This window comes from Homo sapiens, chromosome 3, assembly GCF_000001405.40.
Source record: "Homo sapiens chromosome 3, GRCh38.p14 Primary Assembly".
Taxonomy (NCBI): domain Eukaryota; kingdom Metazoa; phylum Chordata; class Mammalia; order Primates; family Hominidae; genus Homo; species Homo sapiens.
The window spans coordinates 119,207,411-119,220,911 of NC_000003.12; the positions used below are offsets into that span (position 1 = coordinate 119,207,411).

At 42.9% G+C, this 13,501-nt stretch overlaps 1 protein-coding gene across 19 annotated transcripts in view; it reads right to left on the reverse strand.

The window, feature by feature from the left end:
• Positions 4,332–13,501, reverse strand: part of B4GALT4 (beta-1,4-galactosyltransferase 4) — a 29,137-nt gene continuing 19,967 nt past the window's right edge. For 16 of the 19 annotated variants that reach the window (NM_003778.4, NM_212543.2, XM_011513260.1 and 13 more), the window contains 3 exons: positions 11,240–11,362; positions 8,830–8,934; positions 4,332–5,271 (listed from right to left, as the gene is read on the reverse strand). In NM_003778.4, coding sequence (NP_003769.1) covers positions 5,139–5,271; positions 8,830–8,934; positions 11,240–11,362 — 361 coding nt within the window. In that variant the 3' untranslated portion in view covers positions 4,332–5,138. Of the gene's footprint in view, positions 5,272–8,829; positions 8,935–11,239; positions 11,363–13,501 lie in introns of those variants that run through there. The other 3 variants (XM_047449125.1, XM_047449127.1, XM_047449126.1) reach the window with 1 other exon arrangement.

Below are 13,501 nucleotides of genomic sequence, written 5' to 3' on the forward strand. Positions count from 1 at the left end.
TTCTATTGATGGAACAATTTCCTTTCTCCTTCTGGGTCTAGTATTTCCTCTAGTGTCTCTTCCAGATCCTTCTCAGCCTGTATAAGTGAGACTGAATCAAAGAAGAACCCCAAAGAAGGGTAGCTATAGACTACTGAGTTTGCTATTGTATTATAAGGCTCAAGTGGCCAGATCCCGTAAAGGGATCCAGAAACATTGTAGAGAAAGGCAGCCTTGCCGAGAAACAGAGATCCCATACACTTCTCCAACCAACCCTTCCCCCAGCACACGCCCCCACTCCACATTGTTAAGACACAAATAGTCAAATCCTGGAGTTTGGAGAAATGGTACTGTCATGCCCTACTTTCTAGTGGTTTCTACCCTGAGTTCCTCTTGAAAAAGAACTACAGAGCAACAGATGCTGGTGAGGCACTCACAACTAGGCTCAACTATTCTCCTGTTAGACATAAACAATCTCACAGAATACCAGCCTCATAGGGTCACTCTGAGACCATGACAAAACGAGGCAAGCCAAGGCCACTGCATAATTTTGTCTATGCATAGACAAAAACAAGGTCACTGTGCCACCCACAAAAAACCAAACACCTGCTTTCTTGGCTAAAATTAGTGACTGCTATGTCTTCCCAATTACAGCTTTATTCTCTTGCTAGTCTCCCTCCCTACAAATAAAACTTATTGAAATAAACAACCATGGACTTGCCCCTGCTTTCTGATAATATCCAACAGAGCAAACCCTTTCTTGGACCCTCCCCAAATGACCCAACCAAAGCCCAAATGCTGTAATAATTCTAACTTCCTTCTACTGAGTTGCTTCATGGATCCCCCATGGTGTGTTCTCACTCACTGCAACGATTGCAACTAGTCACAATCCCAATTTTTTTCAAAATAGAGCTCTTGAATTTATTCCTCCAACTGAAATTTTGTACCCTTTGATCAACTCTAACCCAATTAATTTATCTGCAATGTGTTCCTGGGGGGTTTTGGCTGAAGAGCATTGACACTCTCCAAGTTAGTCTTCCAATCCTTATTTCCTCTAGGAAATAGGATGTATTTATTCCTTCCTGGTGTAGGTGTATTTATTTATCCATCACCATGAAGTGGTTAAGAACATGAACTCTGGAGTCAAAGTACTTGGCTCCAAATCCCAGCTCTTTGACAAGTCACTTAGCTTCTTGGAGCCTGCTTCAGAAAAACTGGTCTCTCCTCACACAGGACTGGGAGGATTCAGTAAGATACGTACAGTGTGCATCGGTCTATAAGAGATGCCAATCAGGAGGTTATATCAAGGAAACTGATACAGAGCAAGCACTTAGTTTATTATTATGTCCCACCCTTCACCAACCTCTGCTCCAAGCCCCCACATCTCTCTCTCATTCTCTCTCTCTCTCTCTCACACACACACACACACACACACACACTCACACTCCACACATGGGCACACAAGGTTTGATAATTTTATTTAAATCTTAACAATTATCAATGGAACAATGGAGGCTTTACCTGTACAGGTGTACTTCCTAGGGGTGGAACCTCTAAACCACTCCCTTGTGTATACTTTTAGAATGATCAGGCCCTCTCAGCAGGTATAAGATGGTTATGCATATACAAAAAAATCAACGAAGGTAGAAATAGCATAAAATATCGAAGGCACTAAGGATAGAGGGTTTTTTTTTTAAGTTATAGAATGTGATTGGTGAAAAAGAACTTATGAAATGTACCTGAATATGCTTCATCTTGCAGAACATGTTAATGGTTTTTGGTAGGGACTGCATATATGAATAGGATTGGGGAAAGTGAATTTCAAGTCTGGGAGAAAATGTCTTTTATCTCACTCAAGTCCATTCACAGAGCATTTTGGGGCTCCCAGGAAATCTATCCATTGGGGCTTGAGTGGAAGTGATGGGGGTAAGGGCAGAAAAATTACAGATGGAGTTGGGGACAAAGTTCTGAGAGCAGCTGAGAACAGGAATGCACTTTCCAGGGTCCAGACAATACTAACTCTCTGTAGGAATTAAGACAATGACACACATTCAGGAAAATTACCACAAAGAAGTAGAGAAGCCAAGAAGAAGGCAATATGATGTAATGGTCTTGAAAGTCAAAGGGCCCGAGTTTTGCTCAGAATCTGCCATTTGCTGCCTGTGAGACTCCTGGCAAGGCACCCTCCTGGCTGAGACCTCTACTTACTCAACTTACTCAACTGCCCTCTTACCTCAAGAGTCAGAAGCATCGGCCAGGCACATTGGCTCACGCCTGTAGTCCCAGTACTTTGGGAGGAAGAGGCAGGCGGATCACCTGAGGTCAGGAATTCAAGACCAGCCTGGCCAATATGGTGAAACTCCGTCTCTACTAAAAACACAAAAATTAGCCGGGCATGGTGAGGCATGCTTGTAGTCCCAGCTACTTGGGAGGCTGAGGCAGGAGAATCACTTGAACCCAGGAGGTGGAGGTTGCAGTGAGCCGAGATTGTGCCACTGCACTCCAGCCTGGGTGACAGAGTGAGACTCTGTCTCAAAAAAAAAAAAAAAAAAAAAAAGAGTAAGCGGCACCAATAAAGTGTGTGTAAAGATATCACAAACTGCAAAGCACTATAGAAATGAATGCCAGTATAGGTGAGGAAAAAAAATCAATGAAAACTTCAAAGTAACACACTCTTTGTGTTAGGTAGTTGTGATATCCAAATAGCCTGCCCCCACATAATCCTTAGCAATTATAGTAGGCATAGCTGTCTCTACAATATTTAAAACAGTAGGCCTCTTTGGCAACTATGAGAAAATGCACAGGGCAGGAACTGGAGGAAGCCAGTTCCTTTGAAGCCAAACCCCCTGCCCAGTGGGGAGGCAAGAGCAGGGAGGGAGGCAGCAGTGAGTGGGCAGGCGGCCTCATGCCCCGTGTCACCAGCCTTTGATGCCCCAGTGCAGGGAAAGTGTCACAATGGCAGTGTCAAGGTCTTAAAAAACTATCTTCCACCTCAAGAAGTTCCATAACAAGTCATTTAAGGGACTTTTAGATTATCTTGGTTGAAAGAATTACCTGAAGAAAAATAAAAGGCATCATTCAGTGGTTTCCAACAGTTAAAAAATTGCAGATGTCAAAAAAACACAAGAGAGTTTCTGCATGGTACTAGCTATACTCCATTTCCATTGAGTAAGAAATTGAGTTCTCAAATACAGATCTTCAAATTCCTTGCACACACCATTCTCTTCCATTGCCCTTCCCAACCATGATGAGGGAGGGACCTACAACCTCTCAATTACCGTCTGTTAATATGGTCATAGTCAAGCAAATTGGGAGAGAGCTCTAGACAAAGTTTCTACAGAAAAGAGAAGGGACAGTGAGGGAGAGATTTACTCAACAGACTACAGCCTCATTAGCAAATCTCCCAAGAATGAAGCTCCTTTACAAAGTTTGAGCAAAAAACATGAAAACCCTGAGTATTTCTCTGCTAAGTAAAGAAAAAAACATGGCCGGGCACTGTGGCTCACACCTATAATTCCAGCGCTTTGGGCACCCCAGGCAGGCAGATTGATTTTGAGCTCTAGAGTTCAAGACCAGCCTGGGCAACATGGTGAGACCCCATCTCTACTAAAAATACAAAAAAATAGCTGGGAATGGTGGTGTGCGCCTGTGGTCCCAGCTATTCAGGAGGCTGACGGGGGGAGGATTGTCACTTGAGCCTGGGGGGTGGAGGCTGCAGTTAGCCGAGACTGCACCTCCGCACTCCAGCCTGGGTGATAGAGCAAGACCCTGTCGCAAAAAGAAAAAAAAAAAAAAAAAGGAAAAGAAAAATAACCACTTTTGCTCTTTTGCTCCCTGTGCTGAGTTAAAAGCTAAACCAAGCTAGCCCTAGGTAAACGTTTCATGCCTATGAAGTGTATTGTCCTTTCAAATTCTCCTTCCCCACTTGGGTGGTGACAACTCCTGTTTTATCTTAGGAGCACCAAACTTCCTACTCCCTCTCTCCCTGCTTGGGAAGGATTAGATATTATTTAAACTTCCTGGCTGGCACTCATTCTTGTTAAAGTTTAACTGTTGAGGTGTCATACAATAATGATGGATTGAGAACCCCTAGGGCTTGCATGATAAGCATAATGCATTCACGGAGAGGCCCAGGGAGTGAGACATGGACGGGCCTATCGTAAGATTGGAGCTGGTTCCACAAGGAGGTCACAAATGAGACAAACAAGAGAGGGACAGAAGGACGGGAGACAGAAGTAGTGGAGGGCTTTGTTTCATTTGTTCTGTTTTTAAGCTCTTTAGAATTATGGATACTGAAATGAACATATCTGTAGGCCTCAAAGAACAATAAAAAACACGAAGGAACACTCAAAGCTTTTTCACATTTTACTACAGAGGTATTTGATAGACATATTTATTATTAGTTAATATGTAAACTTGTAAACTGCTAATTCATATCCTACTTGTACAAAATCATTTTACAAAAACTCTTTAAAAACTAATAGAGAATGTATTCTCTGGTGGGCATCACTGGAAGGCATACCTGGGCAGGTCCTCCCCTGAAGGCTATCAGCAGCTGCAACCAGCTCAGCTACTGCTGCCTTTGCAGCCGACACTCCACCCTCCTGCTACCTCTTCATTCCCAAGTTCACTGTGTCCTGATTCGTCGCCTTTTCTCCCCTCTTTTGTGGACGCCTTCTCACCTGACACCACCACTTCACAGATGATTGTACAGGATAAATGAATAACAGTATTGTATCTTCGTACCTTTCTACCTTGGACGAGAACAACTCTGGTTCTCTCAGACATTCAGCAGTCTTATTTCCTGTGGCCTTTTATCCCATAATATATTACTTCAAATTTAAATAAATCTCCTTCAACCAGAGTCCTCAAATAGCGTTCATTTTATCCTTTGAGTCATCCTTTTATATAAAGTCCTTCAAGTATCCATATTACAATATTTAACCCTCATGATCAAAATGACTAAGAAAGCTGTCTTGTTACAACTGTTTTATACTCTACATCACCAGGAGCTCTGCTAAGAAAATACAAAAAGGAAAAATTCAGCTCAACAATGAGCTGTAACAGGTTCTTAATGTGTGCTACTATTTGAAGTCTCTAGGCCAAAATTATTGCAAACAAAGAATCAGTTCTTCCAAACATCACCAAAAGACCCAGGGTCATGCACCAAACCAGAAATCCACTGTGATGTTGATATATAAAGGATTGTGTTCCACAGATACTAATTTATAAGAACAACTACTCAACCCATCTGTTCTCCAGACTCGTGACACTTGGTGTAAGAGCTTCATCCTAAAGATAAAAAGAACAAATGTGAATGATAAGAATTTAACATATGTCTCCACTGCATTTTGCCTTGCCCTGAAATGTGGCAAACATATTTTTGTAAATTATTGTACCTGTTGTGTTTCCTACCATTACAAAGTTTGTTTGCCCCATTGAAGGTGACAGACATGATAGCCATGTATTCATGTGTCAGACTCCACGTGAGAACCCGGGGACCCATGATGAAAAGTGTCACTGCACTCAGTGAGCCCCCAGTCTACAGGACAGAAGGATGTGCAAGGAATACAGATACTACAGGATATGTACCAACCATTGCTAACTGATCCTTGGCTGAGCTTCAGGGGATCTCTGAATCTTCCTATGTTATAAGGAAAGTTTGTCTGTAGGTGGGTACATAGCTTTCACGAGCCTCCAAAAAAATTAGAATGTATGTAGATGAGGATGAATGAAGGGAGACCTAACTTCATGAGGAAGTCGGGTGAGGTGTCAGGGAGAAGGAAAATTTCAGTAACGCTGAAAGAGAGAAATCCACCAAGTGAAGAAGGTGAAGGAAAAAGCACTCCAGGCAGAGAGACCACCCTGGGCAAGATGCACAGACGCAAAAGAGCAGGATGCATTTAAAGAAGTCACTAGTGTGGCCAGAACCATGGAATCTGGGAAGACAAGTGGGCAGTGAACTGAATAGGTTCTACTTGTTCAGCAGTGAAGACAATAAATGCTAGTTACCCATGACAATATGGATGGGGATCAGATGCATAATGTTCAGCTAAATAAAGTCAGAGAAGAATAAATGCAGTGTGATTTCATTTACATAAAGTTGAAAAACATGCAGAACTAAGCAATCTTTTGTTTAGGGATACAAACATATGGGAAAACAAGAAAACCAAGAAACAGCAGAAATAACTATCATTATCACAAATACTTATCACAAAAATTCAGAGAAGTGTTACTTGGGTAGGTGGATAGGGGAGATGTGAAGGAGGAGACTACAGAATTAGGGAGGACCACACAGGTCATGCACTCAAAGTGGGGGTAGGAGATATCAGCAGTGTTCATGGCATCAAGAATCTTCATACTTTTCATACAATTTAGGAATACTCTTTTGTATCTACTCAATAATTAATTTTTTTAACATAAAGAGAAAAATGCATACCTATGGACAATGACTAGAAAAACATAGAAAATAGAAATAGCTATTTTGTTGGAGTGGTTGACTCTACCAAAAGGGTGAAAAGCCATTTAATAATGCTTTAAAATATAAACTTTAGGCCAGGCATGGTAGCTCATGCTGTAATCCTAGAACTTTGGGAGGCTGAGGCAGGAGGACTGCTTGAGCCCAGGAGTTTAAGACCAGCCTTTGGCAACACAGGAAGACCCTGTCTTTACAAAAAATAAAAAAAAATTAGCCAAGCATGGTGACACATGCCTGTGGTCCCAGCTACTTGGGAGGCTGAGCTTGGAGGATTGCTTGAGCCTGAGAGATCGAGGCTGTAGTGAGCCATGGTCACGCCACTGCACTCCAGCTTGGGAGCGAGACCCTGCCTCAGAAAAAAATAAATGAACTTTAACAGGACTGTTTAATATCAGGCTAAAAGCACTTTAATATTGTTTTAAAATGTAGACTATAACAAAAGCACTAAAAACCCCTTAAGACTGTTTGAAAATTTAAGGGGAAAAATCAGAACAAAGAAATACAGATTCTTCAATCAAAGCCTCATAAGAACTGGCTTATCTGCCAGGATTCCTTGTGAATAGGCCAATTCCCAAGGCAGGAAAAGTACAAGAAGAGCCTAGAACATTTCATCACAGCAGAGCACAGGGAGGGAAGCTCTCGAGGACTACTGGGATTCAGGACCCAGCTTGAAGAAGATCCCATTGGCCAAAGATGAGACAATATGAGTACCAAAAAGTACAAGAACTACATCCTGAAGGATGCTAGGAAACACCAAGTCATTAGTCTGAAAAATTTTTAATCAGTGCTTGACTCTTTTCTCTTTATTCTGCCTTTCCTATAAAAACTATACCCCAGAGTACCCAAATACATGAAAAGGGAAAGTACTTTGTAGAAAAATCTAATAAATGCAGAAGGAACAATAGAATTAGAATATTACAATTTTGCAACTCCTAATTAAATAATAAATTTAGAAATCAAGCATCAATGACTGCTGAAGTCATTAGGTAAAAAACTGATGAGGAATCTCACAATGCATAGATTAGACTGGCAATATCGAAACTCACAGATCAATCCTAACATCACAAAATGACACAACCAGACATTACATCCTCCTGTTGTGACACTGGAGGAAGTACACAACACCATAAATGAAAATTCTTGCCCAAAAATAAGATTCTGTTCAAGTCTCCAGAAATGCAGAGAAATCCCAGTGTGATGGTTAATACTGAGTGTCAACTTGATTGGATTGAAGGATGTGAAGTATTGTTCCTGGGTGTGTCTGTGAGGGTGTTGCCAAAGGAAATTAACATTTGAGTCAGTGGACTGGGAGGGGCAGATCTACCCTCCATGTGGGTGGGCACCATCTAATCAACTGCTAGCGAGGCTAAAATAAAGCAGGCAGAAGAAGGGAGAAGCCAACTTGCTGAGTCTTCTGGCCTTCATCTTTCTCCTGGGCTTCCTGACCCTGAACATCAGACTCCAAGTTCTTCAGCTTCTGGACTCTTGGACCTACACCAGTGGTTTGCCAGGGACTCTCGGGCCTTTGGCCACAGACTGAAGGCTGCCCTGTTGGCTTCCCTACTTTTGAGGTTTTGGGACCCGGGCTGGCTTCCTCGTTCCTCAGCTTGCAGGCGGCCTATTGTGGACTTCATCTTGGGATAGTGTGAGTCAATACTCCTTAATAAACTCCCCTTCATATATACATCTATCCTGTTCGTTCTGTCCCTCTAGAGAACCCTGACTAATACAACCAGTTTATGAGAAAATAGAGGTCAGGAGGACATATTAAGTTATACTACCAGGATGCAATTGGAAAAATCCATAATGCAAGGAATTCTATTGGACAAATAATCTGGCTTGTTCCACAAATAAATATCAAGGAACACATAAAGAAAGGGAGAGGGAACCTACATATTAAAAGAGATCATTCAAATGCAATGTGGACCTTGTTTAGACACTGATCTGATCAACTGGTTTTAAAAATAAAAAAGTACTTAACACTGACTAGACATTTGATGACATTAAGGAGATATTGTTAATTTTATTCTAGGTATGATAATGGTATTCTGATTCCTTTTTTAAAATTGCTTATATTTTAAGAATACATACTGAAGCAGTTACACATGAAATGCTATGACATCTGTGACACATTTCTAAATCCAGTGGGGTAAGAAAAAAACTGAGGGAAAGAAGAGAGGCCATGAGTTGAGAACTGTAGACGTGAGGGTTCAGTGCACCACTTTCTCTCCTTTTGTGTCTGTTTGAAAATTTGCTTAATAAAAATCTTTTAACACAATGAACTGGCTCAAATCTGATCGAATTCAACATAGTCCTTATTGACAGAACAGACTAGGGAGGTAGCCTGCTAGGCAGGTGAAGCCAGGACTTACCGTTCTGCGTTCACCTCATTGCCTTTGTCTCTAGTGTGGAAGACCATTGTATATTTACCCACTTCAGGCAGGGGCCGGGAAATTTTCATTCTTTGGAGCTCAACCCTAGAAAAATAATAGAGATTTTTTTAAAGTCCATCCTATTTATCTACCACTAGGCAAATAAAAAGCATCATTTGCGAAAATTTATACACACACACGCACATACACACACACACACACACACACACACAGTGTCACAAACAGCTTGATTATTGGAGTATTAAAAAAAGAAAAACTTCTAAAATTTCCAATTTCTTATAATGGTGGAACTTCAGGCGATAAGCCCAAAAAAGAATGAGATTCAGCATTTATTACTGGGGTACAAAGGAGATGTGTTAGTTTATACTTAGTCATTTTCAAAAAGAAAAAAAAATGATAAAGTACTTATTTCAAAACATCCTGAAGAATAGGAGAATCAAGTCTGTTAGGATCCCCAATTTACTTAGAGTTGCCTTCTTTTAACAAAGAAAGGAATGGCCATTTATGGTCACAAGTTTTAAAGCTACAATTCTAGGTTCAAATCTGGACTCTGTTATTTACAACCTCAGTAAGTCAGTTCACAGTTCCAGGTCTCAGTTCCCTCATCTGTAAAATGGCAATGGTGATAGGGAGTTGATTTCAAATATTCAAATGATATAATCTGCATGGAACATGCTTGTACTCTGCAATGTATTATATGTATTATATAAGTACAAAGAAGGGTAGTGCCTGTTGCACAGGCGAATAAATAAGCAGTAAATCTCAACCAACTTTCATATTCAAATCATCTTAGTTTATCTACCACATTAGTCAAAAACCATTCTGAAGGCCATGATGGTCTTTTCAAATGAAAGCAAAATTGGAGGCTCCCCTCTACTTTGAAGCTGAAGCATAGCAGGAAAGAAGACACTGAAGATATGTGATCAGGGCAAAATTCTACTAATCACCCCAGTGAAGTACATTTAGGGAAGATAATGGGGATTGTTTATCACTAGCCTTTGCTACTCTTGTCCTGAAATGTAGCACGTACCCTCTGTCCAGTTCCTAAGCCATGACCACATAGGCTGCTGATGGGCTGGGCTGTGAAGAGCTGTTGCCCATCACTACGGCCATTTCTGTAGAGCCCCTGGTCAGGGGAATCCACTCCCTCCTGCTAGAAACATTCCAGAGGCTCTCAGCCTAGACATGGGAACAAGAGCAGCATGGAGCCCCTGGGTTCTTTATGATGAGGCAACAAAAAAATTTCTGACAGTCACGTAACTAATAATTCAGAGCCCCAGGTTAGAAATTTCCTTTCCAGCCAGGCACAGTGGCTCACACCTGTAATCCCAACACTTTGGGAGGCCAAGGCAGACAGATCACCTGAGGTCAGGAGTTCGAGATCAGCCTGGCCAATATGGTGAAACCTGGCCTTTACTAAAAATACAAAAAAATTAGCCAGACACGGCGGCACACGCCTGTAGTCCCAGCTACTCGGGAGGCTGAGGCTGGAGAATCACTCAAACCCGGGAGGCAGAGGTTGCGGTGAGTCGAGATCACGTCACTGCACTCCAGCCTGGGTGACAGAGCGAGACTTTGTCTCAAAAAAAAAAAAAAAAAAAAAAAGAATTTCTTTTCCAAGAGGCAACAAGCAGGAGGGAAGGGGGCCTCCTGACACCCAGAATGGCCTTGTGATTACAAGTCTAAAGATACCAGCCTAAGCTCTTGAATAATTACTTATTTCTGGGAGGCAGGGATAACTATAACTATCTGGCCCCCAAATCCAAGTTGAGGGGAAGAAGCTGTGGGTGGAGGCCAGACTTATTCCCTTTGAGCCCCTCAGAGCAGAAAGCAGTCCAAGAGAACCCAGGGTAATGTCAACAGCCCAGAGTCAGGCCTGGGGTCAGGCCACCTGCAGTCTCCACAGCGTGCAGGGCTGCCAGGGCTGCCTAACGCTTGAGGAGAGGACCTCTTTGCCTGCTTCAACATGTGCAGCTCCCCAGAGGCTGCTGGCACTCCCTGCAGGGGGACACTGGGAACTGTGTCCCCAAGGGGTCTGACAGAAAGCATGAGGCTCTTAACAACCCGGTCTCCAAATTGCAGTTCAGCAGACACCTTGCAGTTTGGGGTTTCTCACTCACTGGTGTCTCAGTAAGTCTTTCCCGACAAGTACATGAGGCCTCCACCAACACTTCTGGACCCCAAATGCCCCCAGGCCAGAAGTAAACTGCTACTGGCACAGAATGATGTGGGCCATCCTACCTTCCCTCCACCCCCTGCACCCTTCAAGCCCAAATCTGCAGCCTAGTGACCTGCTGGACTGGCATCTAAAGGAATAAATATAAATGCAGGTCTCCAGAGCCACACTGAGTGCAGAGCCCCGTGAAGGGGACCTTTCTCTGTTGTTCACCTGAGTCTGAGGTCATCGTCTTCGCCTCCCCATCCCCAGTAGTTGTTAGAGAATCCATTCACCTTGAAAAACTGCTCTCTGCTTAGGGCAGTAACACCCCCAAAATATCCACTGTAACGTAACCTGGAGCAAAAGAGATGAGAGAAATGGTAAGAATATTCGCACCAAAGGTCTCTGATTTCAGGGCTGGCGTTCTAGGAACACCTGGGAGACCATGTACTTCCACCCACCCACTCCTGCTTCTCCTGCTTGACACCCACCTCCCAATGCTCCTGGCCTTCCCTGTCTTGTCTTCTTTCCTCTATCTAGACAAACGCTCACCTCTGCTCACTGAGCAAAGTGCCACCCAGCTGTTAATGGTGATGTTTGTGTGTAGAGGCCTATAGAGATACCTGTCAATGTGAACCACACCATCAGATATTGATAAGATTTCATCTCATGTGCCAATCCAAGGAATGGTAACAGTTGCCAAGGGCACTGGGTTAAGAAGGATTCTGAGGCTGCATCCGGGTTCAGCACGAATGCGTGTCATGATGAATATACCTTTCTTTTTTTTCACTTTCACTTTTGCAGGGGAGGGTTGAAGGCAGGAGACAGCTCCCGCACACACTCTGTATGCAAATCTCCACTTCTCAACATGCATCTCCAGCTCAGAGTCTGTTTCCTGGATAACCCAACACATGTCAACACCCTCTGAAGTTTCTGGCCTGCCAACCAGACAGAGTCTAGGTAGTGCTTTTCATGAAAATAGGCTGTACAGAACAAGAATTAGGTTTTGAAAGGAAGGACAGTGAATCATGCTTTAGATAAGCTGAATTTTAGATACACCTGGGGCTTTGCCAGTAGGCAAAAGGATACAGGGTCCAAGCTCACAAGAGAGGAACGACTACAGATATGGCTTTGGAAATAAGCTGTTATCATGTAGTACCTGAAGGCATAGGTCGAGAAATCTCCAACAATCTAGTTGGTGAGAAGAGTACAAAGGGTAGACCCAAGGGGCTCAGCTCTGTGGAACCCTAGGAATACCGAAAAGAAAAAGAGGCAAGAGGAGAAAGATCAGGAGGTAAAAGTTAGAGAGCACCTCCCAGCCTCCCAGTTATATAGGACTCTTATTATCAGTGGACAAATTTGTAAATCTCAGAAATAAAGGTATCCCTTAAATATAACATTTGAACAATTCAGAAATGCAAGTTAAGGTAGCTTAAAAACTTGGATGTTACTAAATAAAAAGATGTGAATATCTAGAGAATTTTTAACTTTAACTTCAGGTCAAACTGTTCCAGGACCGATAAAATATTTATGATTTTCTAGATAAAAAGAAAAACCAAAAGGAGTGATCAATAAACATGTAGACACTGGCCATCAAACAAGTGGCATCCCAAAAGCTAATCTGTAGTTCAGTTGTTTCTTTCTACGTTCTGAGAAAAGACTGGGGACTCTGTTTAACCCATAAGAGAAGCAGATTTACTTATATGCCCCTAACTTAAAATTCTGGGAAATTGTATTTTTGCAGCCTATAATAAAACAAAAAAAAGGAAATAAAGTGCTTAGAAGGTAAATATCACTGACCAAGACATCTACTAGCAGTGTCTCATTACCATAGTTATCAGAATGCATTTTATAGAGGGGAGGGATTCTTAGCTGCCTGAACACCAGCTGCCTGATCAGGATGCGGTAATAAGGCAGGCATAACCTGCTGACACCAACAAGCAATCAGCATGAGAACAAGGGAATGATGTGGTAGATTATCAAAACCAATATCGCCATGTGCAAGACGGCTGGCTAAACACGGGAATGCGGGAGCCCCGCCCTCAGAGTTTATAACCTAATAAGAGAGGTGAACATTATCAGGGTTCTGAGGAGAGAGGTGTCGCCACATCAGGAGGAGGGGGCCTGGAAGGATTCAAATAGGCAGAAAAATGGGGGATCTCCTGGTGACCACAACTCTGTGAGGCAAAGCACAGGAGGGAGAAAGACACAGGCTGCCCGACGACCACCTGGAGAGGGGTGAGCTGGAGTGGGGAGGGGCAGAAGAAGACAAGTCAGCAAGAAGGGTTAAAGAATTGTCTCTCCACGCCTGTAATCCCAGCACTTTGGGAGGCCAAGGCGGACGGATCAAGAGGTCAGGAGATCGAGACCACCCTGGCTAACACTGCGAAACCCCGTCTCCACTAAAAATACAAAAAATTAGCTGGGCGTGGTGGCACGTGCCTGTAGTCCCAGCTACTCAGGAGGCTGAGTCAGGAGAATCCCTTGAACCCG